The sequence below is a fragment of the Homo sapiens genome, chromosome 11, assembly GCF_000001405.40.
Source record: "Homo sapiens chromosome 11, GRCh38.p14 Primary Assembly".
NCBI lineage: Eukaryota > Metazoa > Chordata > Mammalia > Primates > Hominidae > Homo > Homo sapiens.
The window spans coordinates 68,170,305-68,192,032 of record NC_000011.10 but is presented as its reverse complement, the minus strand read 5'-3'; the positions used below and the strand labels follow the sequence as shown (position 1 = coordinate 68,192,032).

Genomic DNA, 21,728 nt, shown 5'->3' with positions numbered 1-21,728 from the left:
TGACTACTGTAGTCACTGGTAACACAATATTATTTGTTATCTAAACATATATAAACATAAAGATACAGTAAAAATACAGAATAAAAGATTTTAAAATGGTACACCTGTGAAGGGCACTTCCCATGAATGGAACTTGCAGGATTTGAAGTTGCTCTGGATGAGTCAGTGAGTGAGTGGTGAGTAATTGCGTAGACCTAGTACATGTATACTATTGTAGACTTTATTAACACCGTACACTTAGGCTACGCTAAATTTATTTTGAAATGTTTCTTCAATAATTAACCTTAGCTTGTAACTGTTTTACTTTATAAAGTTTTTTTTTCTAAAAACTTTTTGACTCTTTTATGGTAATACTTGGCTTAAAATACAAACACATATAGCTATACAAAAATACATTCTGGCCACATACAGTGGCTCACGCCTATAATCCCAGCACTTTCGGAGGCCAAGGCAGGTGGATCACTTGAGGTTGGGAGTTCGAGACCAGCCTAGCCAACATGGTAAAACCCTGTCTCTACTAAAAATACAAAAATTAGCTGGGTGTGGTGGTGCACGCCTGTAATCCCACCTACTCAGGAGACTGAGGCAGGAGAATCATTTGAACCTGGGAGGTGGAGGTTGCAATGAGAAGAGATGGCACCACTGCACTCTAGCCGGGGCGACAGAGCAAGGCCCTGTCTCAAATAAATGAATGTATATTCTTTCTTAGCCAGGCACAGTGGCTCATGCCTGTAATCCCAGCACTTTTGGAGGCCAAGGTGGAGGGATTGCTTGAGGCCAGGAGTTTGAGACCAGTCTGGGCAACATAGTGAGACCTCGTCTCTACACACACACACACACACACACACACACACACACAAAGTTTTAAAATTAACTGGATGTGGTGGCTCCTGCCTCTAGTCCCAGCTACTTGGGAGGCTGAGTGGGAGGATTGGTTGAGCCCTGGAATTTGAGGTTGCAGTGAGCCATAATCACACCACTGCACTCCAGCCTGGGCCATAGAGTGAGACTGTCTCAAAACACAGACAAAAAGACACAAAAATATATTATTATTTTCTTTTCTTTTTTGGAAGACAGGGTTGCTCTGTCACCCAGGCTGGAGTACAGTGTTGCAATCATAGCTTCACTGCAGGCTTGACCTCCCATCTCAGCCTCTCAAGTAGCTGGAACCACAGGCTCATGCCACTATGCCTGGCTCACTTTTTTATTTTCTGTAGAGGCAGGGTCTTGCCATGTTGCCCAGGCTGGTCTCAACTTCTGGGCTCAAGCAGTCCGCCTGCCATGGCCCCCCAAAGTGCTGGGATTACAGGCATGAGCCACTGTGCTCAGCTATATTCTTTTTAAAATATCTTTATTCTATAACCTTTTCCTACTTTTATTTTTTTAACTTTTTTATTAAAAACTGAGACACAGGTCACAAACATTAGCTTCAGCCCACACAGGGTCGGGATTATCCATATCACTGTCTTCTCCCTCTGCATCTTGTCCCACTGGAGCGTCTTCAGGGGCAGTAGCATGCATGGAGCTGTCATCTCCTGTGATAACAGTGCCTTCCTCTGGAATATCTCTTGAATAACCTGCCTGGGGCTGTTTTATAGTTAACTTAAAAAAAAGTAGAAGGAATATACTCTAAAATAACAGTAAAAAGTATAATATAGTAAATACTAGGCAATACGAATTTTATGAAGTGTATGTCCAGCTCTGTTATAATCTTATGGAACCACCGTTGTTTATGTGGTCTGTCATTGACCAAAACATCATTATACTGTGAATGACTGTCCTTTTAATATTATATATCTTTCTCAAGGGTCTGTTTAGCATGATCTTTCATGTATTTATCTCCCCATTTTGTTTTGTTTTTCATATTTTGTTTCTGTTAGGAGAGAACATTGAAAGTATTCTCTAAGCTATTTGAAGAGAGTGACTAAATGCACCTGGGTCAGGCTGTCTGTGGGTATGAAGTGGTTGGGAGAATCCAAGAACATGGTGGTGAATGGCAGGAGAAATGGAGGCAAGTTGTCTAATGACCATCAGCAGAATCAATCAAAATTACAGCACACGGGGAAGGACACCCTGAAGGCTGGCAAAAATGCAGTCGAGAGGAGGTCGAACAGATGTATGTACACACTTAAACCTTCAATGTTCTGATTGTGATATGGGGTAGTAATTCTTTCCAGTTTGTAATGTGTATTCTGTTTTCTTTTGTCTTAAATAATTTTTTGCATTTTCATAATTAACAATATAGTCTTTTTACTCTCAAAGTTGTGTCAATTTTTATTCTCATCAAACTATATAAAACTCAAGTTTAATGCTTCATATAATTATTTTAATCATGCTTTTCTGTCTGTTACTTTATATTTTGTAGAATTTACCTGAATGGTTGATATGTCTTACTAAATTTTTAAAATTTTAATTGAACTTCTTACAGGTTAACCTGTATTTTTTTAATAGATGTAAGTATAGGTATGTACTTCTTTGCTAATTTCCACAAATGTTTCATGGAATAATATGAATAATGACGCCAACTGTAATTTACATAAGTAGAATGAGGATAGATAGAACTGACTGCTTTAGGGCAGCCTCACAAATCATAGCAATTTATTCTATTTATACAGGGTAGACAGTTGTTCATCCTGACAGTGAAACACTGCTGATAAGTTACTTTATTTCCTCTATACCTCTTGATAGGAAAGAGGCTGCTTTTTGAGAGTTCAGGAAGTTGTAGATTTGGTGCGTATTTCATAGTTCCTCTAAAAGTAGTAAAATGACTGAGGACAAGTGTATACCTAACTAGGCAGCTATATGTCCAAACGTATGTCATGTTAAAGAGGACAGCTTTTCTTCTTTTTCTAACGTGAATCTAGCCACCTTTGAATATCCTTAATTCAGATTGGCATTGGCCTGTTTCCAGGGATTTGGATTAGCCTGGGATTTTCTGTAGTTTCAGATTGTACAAGTTCTGATAGATTTCCTTCTTACCTTTTAGGGTTTATGCGATTCATTGGGCCCAGGCTACCCTTAACCTTTCCATTTCAGATCAGGTCACTGTTGCTATAGAAAACCAGACAGAATTCCTGCTTGGGACAAGAGTAGGAAGAGGCAAGACTGAATGAGTGGTCCTCTGCATGGACACCACTCACTCCTGAGGCTGCTGGCAGCATGTACCCTCATCCTGCCTCACTCCTTAGCAGCTAGTGTGAACGTGAAGAATTGAGAAATATAGTGATCACATCAGTGTGTATTCATTCTGGTCAGCAAACTAGGCATATCTTAAGTTTTTTAGGAAATCACTGTTGGCCTCCTTTTGTGTATCATAGTGCAAAACAGTTTTAATTAGTTGAATTATTATAGATACACAAGAATTTAGAAAATGCGTCTGGGCGTGGTAGCTCACACCTGTAGTCCCGGCACTTTGGGAGTCCAAGGCGAATGGATCTGCTTAAGTCCAGGAGTTTGAGACCAGCCTGGGCAACATGGTGAAACCCTGTGTCTACAAAAACTACCGTGTCTACAAAAAAATTAGCCAATCATGGTGTTGCATGTCTATGGTTCCAACTACTTTGAGAGGCTGTGGTTGGAAAGATCACTTGAGCCCAGGAGTTAGAGGTTGCAGTGAGCCGAGATCACACCACTGCACTCCAGCATGGGCAAAAAAAAATGAGACTCTTGTTTAAAGAAAAAAAAAAAGAGTTTAGAAATGGCCATTACGGGCCGGGCGTGGTGGCTCACGCCTGTAATCCCAGCACTTTGGGAGGCTGAGGTGGGTGGATCATGAGGTCAGGAGATCGAGACCATCCTGGCTAATACGGTCAAACCCCGCCTCTACTAAAAATACAAAAAATCAGCTGGGCGTGGTGGCAGGTGCCTGTAGTCCCAACTACTCGTGAGGCTGAGGCGGGAGAATGGTGTGAACCCGGGAGGCAGAGCTTGCAGTGAGCCGAGATTGCGTCACTGCACTCCAGCCTGGGCGACAGAGCGAGACTCCATCTCAAAAAAAAAAAAAAAAGAAAAAGGAAAATGGCCATTACTTTGGTTACACTTTACCAAGCATAGATAAATATAGAGGGCTAGGTTGGGAAAACCCAGTGTGTGAAGATGACATAGCCTTACATTGAATGTTATTGGGCCAGAATGGTGCAGAAAGAGAGCCAGCAATGAGAAATGGGAGAGCACAGAGCAGTGCCCCATCTCAGATACAATCAGTGACTTTCCCAGCAGCAGAGCCTTAAGATACAGGAAAGAAAAACTGACAAAATTGAAGGGAAAAATCAACAATTCAGCAATAATTTGGAGACTTTGATACGCCACTTTTAATAATGGATAGAACAGCTTAAGACTATAAACCAATGAGGCCTAACAGACATCTATAGAACCTCATCAGAATACGCATTCATCTCAAGTGCAAGTGCAGCATTCCAGGATAGAACATATGCTAGACCGTATAACAAGCTTCCATAAACTTCAAAGGATTGAAATCATAAAAGGTATGTTCTGTGACCCCAATGGAGGAAAATTAGAAATTAACAAGGAAATTTGGGAATTTCACAAATACATAGAAATGAAATAACACACTTCTAAATAATCAGTGGGTCAAAGAAGAAATCAAAAAGGAAATCAGAAAACATTTTGAAGTGAATTAAAAGAAAGATAAAACATACTAAAACTTACAGGATGCAGCCAAAGCGGTGGTTTAGAGGGAAATTTATACTTGTAAATGCCTGCGTGAAAAAAAGAAGACTGGGCGTGGTGGCTCACGCCTGTAATCCCAGCAGTTTGGGAGGCTGAGGCAGGAGGATGGCTTGAGCTCAGGAGTTCAAGACCAGCCTGGACAATATGGCGAGACCCCACTTTTACAAAAAAATACAAAAATTAACCAGGTTTGATGATGCATGCCTGTGGTCCCAGCTACTAGGGAGGCTGAGGCAGGATGATTCCTTGAGCCCAGGAATTCGAGGCTGCGGTGAGCTGTGATCATGCCACTGCACTCCAGGCTGGGTGGCAAAGCAAGACCCTGTCTTCAAAAAAAAAAAAAGTGAGTTGTGTCGTATGTGAATTGTATTTCAATAAAGCTATTATGCTGTTACCAAAAATTTAACAATGTTGATAGCTTTTCACATACCTACATGCAACTAATTTGATTGCAAAATCATATGTCTACCCTTGGCAGGAACTTACATTTAAGTATTTGTTCTGTGAAAGAGTGGATGAAAAGGTTAAACTTTACTCTGTGTTTCATTCTTCCCCATTTTGGTTTTGAGAGCCTGAAAGTTACATTGCTGTTGTCCTCCATAAATGATGTGCTGATTCCATGGAAGGACTGTCAGTGGCATATACATCAAACTTAATCAGCTCTGATGAAACTTCTTACAAACTTGGCCTTCATTTCCTTCTTTACATTGCTTTTCTTCCACAGTTAAACCCAGTTATTTCAGTTATATATTTCAGTCTGTATTTTTATCCATTCGTTCATAATTGCTTCAAACAGAGGTCAGTAGAAATAGGTCTGTCATTCTCTCTCCACTTCTTTCCCCACTTCTACTGCCCAGCTCTGGAATTGTGGGCAAGTTTCTTTTTGTCTGGGCCTCAGTTGCCTGCAAAGTGGGGATAATAATCATTCACCTGCCCTAAAGCAGGAAGCTGAACTTCATGAGATTCCTTTTGATACTTGAGATCTGGAGTTCTGGCGCTTCTTGCAGAAACTATCTTGTGTTCCTCTTTCCTTTTCAGTCGAGTCCTATCTGTAATGGCCCTGTGTATTGTCTTGTTAAAATAGTGAACATGCTCCCGTCCCGTTTCTCAGTGTTCCTTGGAGAGAAGGGGGTGGGGGAGAGTCAAGCATTTGAACCAAATTCTCACGACTACCCAGACCCCATTCTTGGGAACCTGCTATTACTACCTGCTAACGATAATACTCTCAGTAATGGAGATAGTTTACTGCATTTGGTTTTCTGTCTTATGCAAAGGTTATTAAATTCTTAATTACTAAAATGATTGATTTTTCAGTTCTTTATTACCAGCTTGAATGGGCAATGCCGCTAAAGATTTTAAGGCAGATTTAAGTAGTTTTCAATTTGAGTAATTTTTCTTGCTTTTGCTTTTCACAGGTAATGGTAACTCGGGATTTGAAGGACAGAGTCGCTATGTACCATCCTCTGGAATGTCCGCCAAGGAACTCTGTGAAAATGATGACCTAGCAACCAGTTTGGTTCTTGATCCCTATTTAGGTTTTCAAACACACAAAATGAATACTAGGTAATTTTCAGTCTTTATCCTGAATGGAACAGATGATTATGTTGAATTCAAGAACATAGATGGCTAATTTTACTTTTGCTCAAAATTTAAAATGACATTAAAGGAAAGTTCTTTGCAGTGGAAGGGTTTTCTGTCTGTGAGCCAAGAGAAGCAGAGAAAAGACTCCAGGAATCTTGTCAGTTCTAACTCTGTGTTCTTATTTTACCTCAGAACATTTCTATTAACGTATAAAGCTGGAGGAGCATCCTCATGTTCTATTTTAAAAGTTGATGATGCCAGGCATGGTGGCTCACGCCTGTAATCCCCACACTTTGGGAGGCCAAGGTGGGTGGATCACCTGAGGTCAGGAGTTTGAGACCAGCCTGACCAACATGGTGAAACCCTGTCTCTACTAAAAGTACAAAAAAAATTAGCCAGGCAGGTGGCACATGCCTGTAATCCCAGCTACTTGGGAGGCTGAGGCAGGAGAATCACTTGAACCCGGGAGGCGGAGGTTGCAGTGAGCCGAGATCGTGCCATTGCACTCCAGTCTGGGCAACAAGAGCGAAACTCCATCTCAAAAAAAAAAAGGTGATGACAATTATCTTAGCGAAAAGAAAAATCTGACAAGCATCCTGTAACACCTTGAAAGTGTATGATTATTTCCAACCTAAAGTAGGGTACATCCCTTTTTTTCATGATTTTATTATAGACTTTTCTCTTACACGTTGTCTCTGTATAGATGGGGAATTTTGTCATCATGTTTAATCTTTGGGATTCAGCTAATTATTTAAGAGCGAATAGTTTTAAAGACATGTTTATATTCAGTATGCAGGTAAGAAAGTGGATGTGTAAGTGTTTTGAGTACCAAATGCTGTATATAAAAAACATTATTACATTAATCTTGAAATCTGTCATCTTTTAACAGCTGAGGTCTCTCTTTAATTCTCTTAAATACCATTTCTCCCTCAAAAAAGACCATTAGATCATTTCACAAATGTATCTGCCACCAAACAGGTCAGAGCTTTGCAACTTTGCTTTGTCTCTTAACCTCTATGGCAAAGGGTTTTTTAGCCTGGTGGAAAAGCATAACAGCAGGGATTTAGAAGATAGAGCTAGTTCTGGCCCATCACTTTCATCTCCATCACACCCGGACTGGGGTTATATAGTTCTGATTTTAGTGGCAACCCTGGGGGAACTTGATACCCAGGTAGGTGGTCACTGATCAGTAGTTGGGAGAGGTAGGAATTGGTGAGTACAGGTAATTAGAGGAAAGTCTTGTGTCCTGTTTCCCCCCTTTTAATTTTATCCCTTGCTAGAATTAAGATACTATATGCCTCACTTATCAATTACAGTCTAAATCCAAAAGAAGTAATTCAGGTAAAAATATGCTTTTGTTTTTTTCATAAATTTTTTTTTCTTTTCTTTTTTAGATGGAGTCTCACTCTGTCGCCCAGACTGGAGTGCAGTGGCATGATCTCAGCTCACTGCAACCTCCACCTTCTGGGTTCAAGTGATTCTTCTGCCTCAGTTTCCCAAGTAGCTGGGATTACAGGCGTGCACCACTGCACCCAGCTAATTTTTGTATTTTTAGTGTAGATGAGGTTTCACCATGTTGACCAGGCTGGTCTTGAAACTCCTGACCTCAGGTGATCCACCTGCCTCAGCCTCCCAAAGTGCTGGGATTATAGACGTGAGCCACCATGTCTGACCATAAAATTTTCTGTCATATATCTTTACCTACTAAAATGAAGTGTGAAATATTGGAATGGAGTTGGGGGATTATTTAAACAGTTCCCTGCCAAATGACTGCCATTGGATGCCCTGATTGATTAAGATCCAGGCTGGGCGCAGTGGCTCATGCCTGTAATCTCAGCACTTTGGGAGGCCAAGCTGGGTGGATCACCAGAGGTCAGGAGTTCGAGACCAGCCTGGCCAACATGATGAAATCCCATCTCTACTAAAAATACAAAAATTAGCTGGGTGTGGTGGTGCACACCTGTAGTCCTGGCTACTCAGGAGGCTGAGGCAGGAGAATCACGTGAACCCGGGAGACAGAGGTTGCAGTGAACCAAGATCACATCACTGCACTCCAGCCTGGGTAACAAAGTGAGACTGCCTCAAAAAAAAAAAAAAGATACAGGACTGGGCATGGTAGCTCATGCCTGTAATCCCAGCACTTTGGGAGGCCGAGGTGGGTGGATCACCTGAGCTCAGGAGTTCGAGACCAGCCTGGCCAACATGCTGAAACCCCGTCTCTACTAAAAATACAAAAAATTAGCTGGGCCTGGCCACATGCGCCTGTAGTCCCAGCTACTCGGAAGGCTGAGGCAGGAGAATCCCTCGAACCTGGGAGGTGGAAGTTGCAGTGAGCTGGGATCGCGCCACTGCACTCCAGCCTGGGCAACAGAGCGTGACTCCGGCTAAAAACAAAAAACTAATTTGCATTATTTTAAGTCCATTTTCTTTTCTTTTCTTTTTTTTTGCCCATTGAACATGAGACCAGTGCTCATTCTCCTAGAAGATGCTGATAATATTTGTCACCCTGTAGCACCCCCAGTGTTTTTCTTTGTTTTTTTTTTTTTTGAGTTAAGAAATGTGAATGTGTGAATGAATCACTCTTTGACACAGTAGTCTAGTGGCATTCAGAATGTCACCACAAAGGCCCAGAATCTTGACCTGGGGTCATCAAGAAAGTTATATTGATTATGCCTTATTACCAAGATATGGAAGCATATAAAACAGCGTTACATCAGAATTACAATGGGCCAGGTGCGGTGGCTCACGCCTGTAATCCCAGCACTTTGGGAGGCTGAGGTGGGCGGATCACCTGAGGTCGGGAGTTCAAGACCAGCCTGACCAACATGGAAAACCCCGTCTCTACTAAAAATACAAAATTTAGCCAGGCGTGGTGGCACATGCCTGTACTCCCAGCTACTCAGGAGGCCGAGGCAGGAGAATCGCTTGAACCTGGGAGGCAGAGGTTGTGGTGAGCCGAGATTGCGCCACTGCACTCCAGCCTGGGCAACAAGAGCGAAACTCAGTCTCAAAAAAAAAAAAAAAAAATTACAATGAAAGTTTTAGTGGCTTATGACAGAACTTCATGTACTCTAAAATCCCCGTGCCGTATTCCAGAAGGCTGCCTGTTACTGGCATCTTCAATAGTAAATACTCCAGTTTTCTGCTGCAGTGGCTCATGCCTGTAATCCCAGCACTTTGGGAGGGCAAGGTGGGAGGATCACTGGAGCCCAGGAGCTCGAGGCTGCAATGAGCTGTATTCATACCACTGCACTCCAGCCTGGGCCACAGAGTGAAACCCTATATTAAAAAACAAAAGGAAGCACTCCAGTTTTCTGTAAAAGTCCTCCTATACCATTGCTTCTTATAATTAGTTTACATGAGAGTCACCTGGGAGTTTGTTGAAATGCAGGCTCTGATTCAGTAGCTTTGGGGTGGGGCCTGAGATTGTGCCTTTCTAACAAGCTCCCAGACTACACTTGGAATAGCTAGGTCCTAAAACATCTGGCCTCTCAGTTTCATTGTGACGTGCTAAGTGGATAAAAATACCTTACTAGGAGTTTCCTAGGGCTCACGTAAAACTATGTAGTCATAAATGTAAACTTCAGGATTACCACACAAATATTTTTGGAACTCAAGACATTAACTGAGGACTCCTAAGTTAAAATGCACCCAGTGCCTAAGATTTTTCCCCATAGAATTGAAGCATCTAAAATTAAAGCTGGTTAAACTTGCAGAAGAAATCATTTTTTAAGTATTTTTTAGTCCAACATTTAATTATACAGTTCCTAAAATAACCTGTGGAAGTACAGACGATTCTGTTGCCCTGGTTAGAGCAGCCTGGGTTCCTAGCAATGCCAGCACTTCAGGCCGGTGTGGGAGTGCAGGGGACGGCCTGCCTACTTCCCACCAGAGTGTTCCGTTTACGTGTGCTTTTACACTCTTGTGTACACTGATATTTGGGAACAGAAACTTTATTAATGACCTTTACAATAATCTTGGTGAAAGGTATATGTTTTCAATTAACCTTAGTGAATTTACTTGAAAATAAAACTATCCCTTCTAGCTCTTCATCTTTTGAGCAAGAATTTACCAGAATGTGACTTTAGAAAATAAGGAAAACTGATAATGCTTAATTAAGGTAGTAAATAGCCAATAAATACTTCTTAAATTGTTAGTTTATGGACTTCTCTCTCTTTGGGGTGCAAAAGAAGTGACCAGAAGATGTACTGCTCTTGGATTTTAATTTTCTAAGCTCTCTGCCTGTTCCTTGTATAGTGCGCTCTTTGTTCATATGTTTATGCACCTGTAATTTGTCACTTTTTAGTTTCTCTTTTTTATACTCTTTTCCCTTCCTTTTACTTCTTTCAGTCTACCAACAGGAAGAATGTTTAGAAACAGTAGATGTTTAGCCCGGGCGTGATGGCTCACGCCTGTAATTCCAGCACTTTGGGAGGCCGAGGCGGGTGGATCACGAGGTCAGGTGTTCGACACCAGCCTGACCAACATGGTGAAACCCCGTCTCTACTAAAAATACAAAAATTAGCCAGGCATGGTGGTGCGTGCCCGTAATCCCAGCTACTCAAGAGTTTGAGGCAGGCGAATAACTTGAACCTGGGAGGCAGAGGTTGCAGTGAGCCTAGATCACACCACTGCACTCCAGCCTGGGCAACAGAGTGAGACTCTATCTCCAAAAAAAAAAAAAAAAGAAAAAAGAAAGAGTAGATGTTTAATGATTGGAGAATTTTCAAAACTGGCTATGTTTTGAGTGCACAGGTTTTAATCTTAATATATCCTTACATTTACTAACAAGCAAGAGTTGTAGCATGAATACTTAGAAATAGTACGAACAAAATGCTAATTTCAATTTATTGGGAGAAATTTGAACTTAATTGACTTTTGTCAATTATGAAACCTAAAGTTTTCTTTTTAACAAGAAAAAAAGAGTTGTTGTTTATACCTCTGGTTTTTAAATGGAGTGGGAGCGGGATATTTTAAGAAAGGGATCGATGCTTTCAGTAATGCCCCCTTTTTGAGGCTGCATGACCCTGAGATGTCACAGTATCCTGAGGCGCGAAGGCGACTCAGGCCAGCAGTGAGCTGAGCAGGAGACAGCATTTAAACATCAGGGGAGTCACTTCAGGGCACTGAGTTTCTCTTTTCAACTTTTCTTGGTTTTCTAATCAGAATGTCAGCCTGTACAGTCCTTACTCATTTTTCTACTGTTATAACCATCTAATTTTTATTTCACTTTTATATGTATTTGATTATTCATATCCACTATTGGATATGAATATGAATCACTTTAAATATCATTTTAAAATTAAGTGCTTGACTAGAATCCGTAAAGAATGTTTTCAAAGCTTCTAACTTCATGGTAAGGTGTGTTCTATGGGAAGCAGAGAATTTCAGCAGCATGGCTTCTATCCTGCCGCGCCCACCTGTGGTATCTTAAAGTTCTTGATTATCACAGAGTTTTAAAGATTTTTGCAACAACGAATATTGTAAGTCTGTTTAGAAATTACAAGTACAGATTATACAAATAGCTTTTTATTTTTGTTGTTTGTTTTTGCATTTATATAGCGCCTTTCCTTCGAGGAGCTCAAGGCATTTTTCAAAATCTGACAGTTTTTCTCACAACAACCCTGTGAGGTAGGTAGTGTGTGTTAAAAACAATGAGATACTGACTAACCCATTCTAGCCTTTTAAAATGTTCTTTTATGTTAAGTAATTTGAAGTGTCAGCATAAATTAGAGTTTTAGAACATTTTACAAACCTTTTAAAGTAGTTTGATAATAGTTGTATTTTTTAAAAAACCACTTGTACTTCATAACAGGGTGATTTTAAGAGAAACAAATCATTCTTCAAAAGATCAGGAGTCACTCCATGTGATTAGCTGAGCACTGATTGCAGGACTCAGCCAGGTATGTTTTTGGTTCTCGTTTATTTTCAGGTCAAGAAGGACTGAAGAGCTGATCTGCGACTCCTCACTCAGCGTCTACAAACTGTGGATTTGCAGCTAAACTTTCTTCAGAGGGGGAAATGTGTTCACTATGTTGCCTCATGGTTTTATTTTATATCTTAAATATTTGAGCATTTTTCTCTCTTCCTCTCTCCTTCCCTGTCTCCCTTTTTTCTGTTCCCCTTCCTGTTCCCCACCCCTCCAGTCAGCTCTTGATTGTGCATGCTAATGAAGGGCACAGTAGCACAGCTAATACAGTCTACAACTTTTCTTCACTGCCACAGTGGGGAGACAGAAAAACCAAATAGCAAGAAAACCTGGGAAGTGAGTCTCTGGAAAGAGTGGGGAACAGGTGTGTGGGAGTGTGAATTCATATGTTTTTTTCCTGCCCCTTTAATAATAATCAATTGTAAATGACATTTTTATTTTTCTTATACCAGCCATTGATTGGAAGTGTAAAAAGAGAAAAAATAGATATGTTTGGTTGATTTAAAGTAGCAAATTTTCTATTAAGGGAGGGAGGACGGGGCATATTGGTTTGGAAATGCCAAATAACTGTTTTTCTTGCCTCCCTTGTCACCCACCCCCCCACCCAAATACGAAATTTTAAAATTCACATTTGCGTCCATCCCTTCCACTGTATTGTCAGTATACAAGCTAGAGCTGTCTCTGGCTGGGCCCAGTGCTGATGTTCAATGGCAAACGCAAGTCAAATCCTCTTCTAACCATGAAACAATGTGAGGAAGGCTCTCCTGAGCCAGGTGATATAACAGGAACCAGAAAGGCCAGGGTAAATCCCAGGTCTTCCATTCATTAACCCTAAGTCATTGGCAATCTACTCAGCCTTGTTGGGCCTTATTTTCCTCATTTGTGGAACAAAAGGGCTGTTCTAAATTATCTGGCCTTTAAGTGTCAGAGTAAAAGGATAGTTTTATGCAGTTTGTATGGGAGATTTAGAGTGATTATAGTTAAGGAGAGAGGGTATTTTTCTGTTCAATAATAGGAAAAAAAAAAATTTCCCTAAGGTTTTCAGTGCATTTGCACCAGCCCTAATAGGTATAACAGTCTTAACTTTTATTTTCCACAGTATTTGTTACAATGGGATTTGATTTGGACTATCAGCCAGCTGACTTTTACATACTTCTGTAGGATTATTGAAAACAACTGTCTCATCTCCTGCCTGTCTGCACCCTTAACCATTTTCTTCCCCCTTTTCCTTACTGTCATTTCATGCCCATAGCAGCCAACTGTGACAGTAAGTTTTAACAGGTTTGGGACAGCAACTTATATTTTTAGTGAAATAGAGGTTCTTGCTATTGGTAGCAAGGGATAGTTTCAGGGGTTTTATTTATGTTTGAGGCAATAAAGTCAGGAAAGCAGAAACAGAAGTCAACACAGGGAAGGTAGGCAGAATACTACTAAATCAAGAGTTGACTATTTTGTGTTGGTTTTAGCATGTAAATTGTTTGGCATTATGAATAAAAAGTAAACAAAACCAAGGTTACCTGAAGGCATTTTTAGATAGGAATGAACTTGTTTCAGAAAGCATAGAACACACATAAAGCCTATTAAAAATAGCCAAGTTTCATTCCAGGTCTATAACTTACTTTTGTATAATGTTCCCATTGGTCACTTTCACATTGAACGTGTAAAGATAGCTTGGCCCTTTCTGTCGTTTGTAGCCCTGTCATTTAACGGCATGGATAATTTATTGCATTTGCTTAAAGTGAACTATTGCTTTTCTGATTGCCACACAAAGCACGGGTTATCTGTTTCCCACCATTTCATATTTCATATTTCATATTGCTCGACAGGTCATGCCTTAGCTGAGAGCTGCTTTGTTGTCTTATCTGTCCTTCATGTGCAAATAACCATGTAGTGTAGGATTGCAGCAAGAATGGTTTCCATTGGATTTCTTGGAGATGGTATCTTGACACAATCAATTGTGATGGCTACAAGTAGTTGAGTATGGATATTTGGATGCTTTCCCAATTCTACAGCTCTTTATTTTCATGGTGGTTCTCTGACACCATATGTCGACAGACTAGTAAGACGTTCTGAATTGTTTAAAGGACTTGCATTTATCTGTCTGTAAAGGCTTGTATACCAATTGATTGAAAATGGAAAATAGGGCCCTGTTCATTTCTTCAGTATTATCTCTAGGATATGTTTGAACTTTCAGATGGTTCAGCTAATAGTTGTGAGAATTCAGGATTACTGAATTAAAAAAAAAATGACTAGAGTGTGTAGCTAGTAAGTTCCTGGTAGTATCAGTATGCATTAATACACCTGAAGTCTTCCAGTGATCCTGTCCAGTAAACAGTATTATACCTGTTCAGGACCTCATGTCTTTCCTCTTCCTGATTCTGGTACTTTACTTTATTATTGCTACCTAGCTGACCCTGGTCAACTCTTTGAATCCAGCTTGATTAAGATCTTCTGCTTAGACTTCCCCTCATTCTTCCTTCCTTTTGATTCTTACCTGCTTATAATGTGCTTTTCTTAAACCTTTCCCATGTACATTTTGCACCCTAGTTATAATTTCTATACTTTTAGGTGCTATAGCAATGCAGTTTTTAGCATATTAACATGCATTTGCATATTGATCACTTGCTTAACTGTTTGATGCATATATATGTCTTTTAGTCCCAATTAAATTTTCCATTCAAGAACAGTGGCCATGTCTTCTCTTGTATTTTTCACCATAGCACTTCATATGCCACTGTATACACAACACAGCACCTAATAATCCTTGATGAAATACTGTGGCTTGAAATCTTACTGAAATACTATGAATACATATATGATAGCTTCTCTAGGAAAAAAAATTCTGCTGAATGCTTCCTTTGCTGGAGTTTGTGCTAGATCTTACCTCAATTTTAGCATATTCAGGTTTATGAAATGTACAATTTTAAATGTCAGAGTAAGACACATAAAGATTTTTTTCTCCTGAACCACTAATATTTTTTCTTAATGTATTTTATTTGAATGGCAATCGGTGATTCCTTTTTTCTGTTGGACGTTTTGTTTTGTTTTTTTGATACAGAGTCTTGCTCTGTCACCAGGCTGAAGTGCAGTGACGCGATCTTGGCTCACTCCAACTTCAACTCTCGAGTTCAAGCAATTCCCCTGCCTCAGCCTCCTGAGTACCTAGGACTACAGGCGTGTACCACTACGTGGGCCTGGCTAATTTTTTGCATTTTAGAGACGGGGTTTCACCAGGTTGGCCAGGATGGTCTCGATCTCCTGACCTCGTGATCCATCCGCCTCGACCTCCCAAAGTGCTGGGATTATAGGTGAGAGCCACCATACCGGGCCATAATCCGGTTAGAATTAGCTTTATGAAAATAAAATAAAACTTTTTTTTAAAATAAAAACTTTATTTGGGAGAATTAGCTTTATGAAATTGACATGAAAAGAAAATTTGAAATTAAGATGCTAGTAACTTTATAGTACACGTTTTACTGAAAACACAGCTTTAGAATGAGGGGTTCACAAATTTGTCTTGCTTGGGCCATGACTGCATCATGCATAAATACAGACCTAATGGGATAATATTCTGAAGACATCAGTGTGGCTGATTCTACAATGGAAGCCTTTTCAATTCTACCCCTGCAGGCCAGGCGCAGTGGCTCACACCTATAATCCCAGCACTTTGGGAGGCCAAGGTGGGCAGACCACTTGAGGTTAGGAGTTCAAGACCAGCCTGGCCAACATGGTCTCTACTAAAAATACAAAAATTAGCTGGGCATGGTGGCGCACGCCTGTCATCCCAGCTACATGGGAGGCTGAGGCAAGAGAATCACTTGAACCCGGGAGGCAGAGGTTGCAGTGAGCCAAGATCACACCACTGCACTCCAGCCTGGGCCACAGAGTGAGACTCCATCTCAAAAAAAAAAAAAAAAAACAACTCTACCCCATCAGTTTTCCTACATTACCAGTATAGCAATTTCACCACTAGAGTTAACACTGCTTGTACTCGTTTTGTTCTCTGAATGCAGTCATCAAAGATGACTTTGACATGGGTGGTTAGAACATCAAGGTGTGTTTCGAAGCCTGTTGGAATACTTAGTTTGGGGTTTTTTCTGACTGTGTACATAAAGAATGTTTTTGTGTATGGCATGGTTTTGTTTACATCATCATACTTCTGAAATTCATTGCCTGGCACTCTTCCAGCTTGATTTTGCATGTTTTAAAAAGATTCTTGTCATTCTAACTCTAAATTAGGTGTGCTGTATTCTAGAGCTTTGATTTTGTGTCTCCCAAAGTTGACGACTAGTGTAAGTCTGAATCAGACAGCTTTTGTTTGAATCGTCTGCTCACCTCACAGTTAATGAGATAACAGTGAAATAAAAATAATTAAAATAACAGATTGAAAAAAGAGAAGTTACTGAGATAACAGTGAAATAAAAATATTAAAATAACAGATTGAAAAAAGAGAACTTGCGTATCCAGGTGATCAGTATTACTTGAATAGTAGTAATCAAGACTATTGATTGTTGTTCTCTTCTCTTAGATCTTTGCTCTGATAACCATGGCTGTTTTTAGGGTATTAGCTCTTTCTCAAGATCTGTTAAGATGGATCAGTGGCGCAAGGATTGTGGCAGATAACCCATTCATTCTTTTGATTTCTTTCAGATTTAGGCCTATTAAAGGAAGGCAGGAAGAACTAAAGGAAGTAATTGAACGTTTTAAGAAAGATGAACACTTGGAGAAAGCCTTCAAATGTTTGACTTCAGGCGAATGGGCACGGCACTATTTTCTCAACAAGAATAAAATGCAGGAGAAATTATTCAAAGAACATGTAAGTTTATTAAGACTGATGCTGTTAACCTATTTGGATAAGAATAGTGAAGTAAATTAAAACCCTAAATGTTAGTTAATACTGAAATTTTAAATTTATTTTTCATAAAACTAATCAGTCTGAAGATCTTGTAACACATACAGTCATTTGGATGACAGTCCAGAGAAAAAACTGGGCCAGGCTCAGTGGCTCATGCTTGTAATCCCAGCACTTTGTGGGGGCTAAGATGGGAGTATTGCTTGAGGCCAGGACTTCGAGACCAGCCTGGGCAACATAGCAAGACTCCATCTCTAAAAAAATAAGAATAAAAAAATTAGCTAGGCATAGTAGTGTGTACCTTTGTAGTTTGTAGTTCCGGCTACTCAGGAAGCAGAGCCAGAAGCATTGCTTGTGCCCAAGAGTTAGAGGCTGCTCTGAGCTATGATCATGCCACTGCGCTCCAGCCCTGGGAGACAGAGCAAGACCCTGTCTCTAAAACCAAAAAAGGAGAGAAAACTTTGTCATATAGAGGTGAAATTCATTATGAGCCTTAAGGGAAACAAGCCATTAGGTACTCATACAGAGTGAGTACCCTTAACCCCAAAATTTGAAATGCTCCAAAATCTGAAACTTTTTGAACACCGACCTGACACTCAAAGGAAATGCTCATGGGAGGATTTTGAATTTTTTGTTTAGAGGTGTTCAGCTAGTTACTGTAATGCAAATATTGCAAAATGAGAAAAATTGTGACATTCAAAACTCTTGAGTAACAATAAAGTTTGTTACCTAATGATCTTACTTTTTTTGTTTATTTTATTGTTTTTTTAGAGGCAGAATCTTGCTCTGTCACCCAGGCTGGAGTGCAGTGGCCTGATTATGGCTCACTGCAGCTTCCATCTCTTGGGCTCAAGTGATTCTTCCTCTCAGCCTCCCACGTAGCTGGCACTAAAGGTACATGCCATCATGCTTGGCTAATGTTTTTCGTAGAGACAGGGTCTCGCTATGTTGCTCAGGCTAGATCTTACATTTTTTTCATCATTGCGGGTGGTTTGCTTTTATAATTGTAAGAAAGTCTAGCAGGGTATACCATTTAAAGTCATTATCAATTTTTTTTTCCTGTTTTAGGTATTTATTTATTTGCGAATGTTTGCAACTGACAGTGGATTTGAAATATTGCCATGTAATAGATACTCATCAGAACAAAATGGAGCCAAAATAGTTGCAACAAAAGAGTGGTAACTATTCTACTAGTATAAGCCTTTAATTTAATTTAAAGTTCTCTTCTAAATTATTGTTGAAGTGCTGAGAAATTCATGGTAAGGAATGAAGCCAGAGTTTACCCTGAAGTAGCCAATGCATCGCCGTTGCCTTGGCCCATCAGCTGGAGTCAGAGTGGGGAAATCGGAAGTCTCAGTTGAACCAGATCCCATCTCTAGGCCAAATTGCTTTTCATTTTCCTTTATTGACTCTGGATGCCTGTTCAGTGATATGATTGCTGAAGAGTTGTGGATACCGTGATTAGATAACCTGGCTTCCACAGTCAGTCTTCTACTGGCCTAGAAGAAAGGTTGGGGCTAAAGTTTTAATGATCCTAGTTTTATGGGTGGAAACCTCCCTAAAGCATTAGTTGCTTAAAAATACATACATACAGATATATATATATGTATATATGCCAGCTTCAATAAAAATAGTAGAGTTGGTGGGGGGCATTGGCTCACGCCTATAATCCCAGCACTTTGGGAGGCCGAGGCAGGCAGATCACTTGAGGTCAGGAGTTCAAGACCAGCCTGGCCAACATGGTGAAACCCCATCTCTACTAAAAATACAAAAATTAGCTGGGCGTGGTAGCACACACCTGTAGTCCTAGCTACTCGGGTGGCTGAGGCAGGAGAATCACTTGAACCCAGGAGACAGAGGCTATAGTGAGCTGAGATCGCGCCACTGCACTCCAGCCTGGGCAATAGAGTGAGACTCTATCTCAAAATTAAGTCAGAGTTGAGCCCAGCTAAAAGGGATAAAAGTTACAGATGAAAGAGAATATACTACTGTATCTTCTTTCCTATCATGCCTGTTCCCTATGTTATCTCCCAGGAAAAACATGTAGCTCCTCATGTACCCACCCTCTGATATTTCTACCACAAAAATTTGGGGGGTCAGATATCTGAAAATGGATAGGTAAAAGAACTTTATTGCCAGGCCTCTGGGGTGAGTGTGTGTACATGAAATGTGCTTCATTTACCTCAGGATGTATTGAGCCTGCTAGTTGGATTATGTGGCTCCCTGTGTTGCAGATGGGTGTGTAGGTTTGAGATCTAGAGTCCTAGAGCTGTACCGTCCGGTACAGTAGCCACCAGCCCTTGAGTCCTTGAAATGTAGCTAGTCTGAATTGAGAAGCGCTGTAAGTGTGCTATACACACCAGATTTCATATTAAATTTTATTCCCATTCATAGTTCTTATATTACCTACTGAAATCGTATTTTGGATATTGGGTTAAAATATATTGTTGGCTGGGCATGGTGGCTCATCTGTAATCCCAGCACTTTGGGAGGCTGAGGTGGGCGGATCATGACGTCAAGAAATCGAGACCATCCTGGCCAACACGGTGAAACTCCATCTCTAGTAAAAATACAAAAAAAAAAAATGAGCTAGGTGTGGTGGCACACACCTGTAGTCCCAGCTACTTAGGCTGAGGCAGGAGAATCACTTGAACTCAGGAGGCAGAGGTTGCAGTGAGCTGAGATCACGCCACTGCACTCCAGCCTGGGCAACAGAGCGAGATTCCGTCTCAAATAAAATAAAATAAAATAAATTGTTAAAGTAATTTCACCTATATTCACTTAACTTTCTCAATGTGGCTGCTAAAAAATTTAAGATTGAAAATTTGGCTTGCATTATATTCCTAGCAGATGGTGTGCTCTAAAGAGTGGCACCATGATTCCGGATCCTCATAACCCTTACTGCCACTGGTCCCTGCCTGCTTCATCCAGCAGTCAGAAAGTTTAATTCATTGCCGCAAGTATTTGAGTACTTTCTGCTTGCAAAACACCACACCAGGGCATTCAGAGACATAGGTGGCATAGTCCCTGTCCTGGTTGAGTTTCCATTCTCTTGCAGGAATAAGATAGGTACACAAGTAACCATGGCACAAGGCTGTGGAGCTCCAGGGTAGGAGAGAAGATAGCCAGGTGGGGATCCCAGTGAGCTAACTAAAGTATAGACAGCTAGGCCTTTTCAGTTTCTGATATTTATTGTCAGGATTATTTTATTAAAAGAAGCCTTACTATATTTAATTACTAGTAATTTTTAACACATCACATATTTTAAATAGGAAACGAAATGACAAAATAGAATTACTGGTGGGTTGTATTGCCGAACTTTCAGAAATTGAGGAGAACATGCTACTTAGACATGGAGAAAACGACTTCAGTGTCATGTACTCCACAAGGAAAAACTGTGCTCAACTCTGGCTGGGTCCTGCTGCGTTTATAAACCATGGTAAGCTGTGTTTCCAAGGTGTTGGCGCTAGTGTTGGCCATTCCTGCTAACTGCTAGAATGGCCTTGTCAACCTCAGTCAAACCTTTATCTTCCTTTAAAGGAGAATTTGAAATAGAAATGTTTCCACAAACTTATTAAAATAAATGTATATTCCTTTAGTTGAACTTGAGACCTAAACTCCTATCAAAAGTTGTAAAGTTATATGGAAAGCTTATTTCAGATTTCTATAATTGTTCGTGTTTCAGATCTTATCAACAGTTAATTGACTTTATCTTTTGGACATTTTTCAGATTGCAGACCTAATTGTAAGGTAAGCATTAAAAAAATTTTCTTCAAGTATTTTGTTTTTGCTTCAGGTGTGAGTTTCTTACTGAGTTACTTTTATTTTAGTTTGTGTCAACTGGTCGAGATACAGCATGTGTGAAGGCTCTAAGAGACATTGAACCTGGAGAAGAAATTTCTTGTTATTATGGAGATGGGTTCTTTGGAGAAAATAATGAGTTCTGCGAGTGTTACACTTGCGAAAGGTAAGGTATTAAGTAAAATGTTCAGCCTAAACATTTTTTGTTAACAACCTGATTATGGGGATTAAACTCACATTATCTCTTTGTTGTTTAAATGCAGAGATAGTCTTTATGTTCTTTAGCATAGCGGCTGGTGCAGTGTGTATGAACAAAGTCAAATGCTGCACAGCTATTTAGGGACATTGGAATGTCCCTCAATAAATTTAAAATTTCCCTTTAAAATCTTAATATTACCAGCTAAGAGTGGGCCAGAATACAGATGTGCTTAAGGAGAGAATGGTTAATAGCTCACACACATGCACACACGCAATGCCAGAATGGGGTTGCCGCTACTCAAAATGTCAAGTGGAGTTCACCACTGATAGTCGTCTTGCATATTATCAAGCTGTGTCTTCTGGAATTTTGGTTTCACAGTTCTTAAGAGTTGTTCCCTGATATCAGTCATTCAATAAGGAACCTCTTCTTATGTCTCATCAAGAGTCCTGGAGTCTTTACAGAAATCCCCCAGATCTTCATTGGCAGGACCACCAGTTCATATTGCTCATTATAGTGACTTCTGTGTGTGAGAGCACCATGAAGGGAGCGTCACAGGCTCAGGCAGGCAAGGGCTGCAGGAAGAGTCCCCTCAAAGGCAGTACAGACCACACAGGCCACAGAGAAGGAAACCTGGAGTCCATTTTGCACATCTTGCACTGTGCCAGGCACTTTACTCA

The 21,728-nt window shown here is 40.3% G+C and overlaps 1 protein-coding gene across 27 annotated transcripts in view; it reads left to right on the top strand.

Annotated features, from left to right (window-relative positions):
- KMT5B (lysine methyltransferase 5B) overlaps window positions 1–21,728 on the top strand; it is a 58,786-nt gene that overhangs the window by 21,616 nt on the left and 15,442 nt on the right. For 6 of the 27 annotated variants that reach the window (XM_005274035.5, NM_017635.5, XM_047427071.1 and 3 more), the window contains exons 2-9: window positions 1,881–2,116; window positions 6,105–6,252; window positions 11,833–11,901; window positions 16,850–17,015; window positions 18,120–18,229; window positions 20,324–20,490; window positions 20,782–20,801; window positions 20,882–21,018. In XM_005274035.5, coding sequence (XP_005274092.2) covers window positions 1,957–2,116; window positions 6,105–6,252; window positions 11,833–11,901; window positions 16,850–17,015; window positions 18,120–18,229; window positions 20,324–20,490; window positions 20,782–20,801; window positions 20,882–21,018 — 977 coding nt within the window. In that variant the 5' untranslated portion in view covers window positions 1,881–1,956. Of the gene's footprint in view, window positions 1–1,880; window positions 2,117–6,104; window positions 6,253–11,832; window positions 12,564–16,849; window positions 17,016–18,119; window positions 18,230–20,323; window positions 20,491–20,736; window positions 20,802–20,881; window positions 21,019–21,728 lie in introns of those variants that run through there. The other 21 variants (NM_001369432.1, NM_001369431.1, NM_001369424.1 and 18 more) reach the window with 16 other exon arrangements.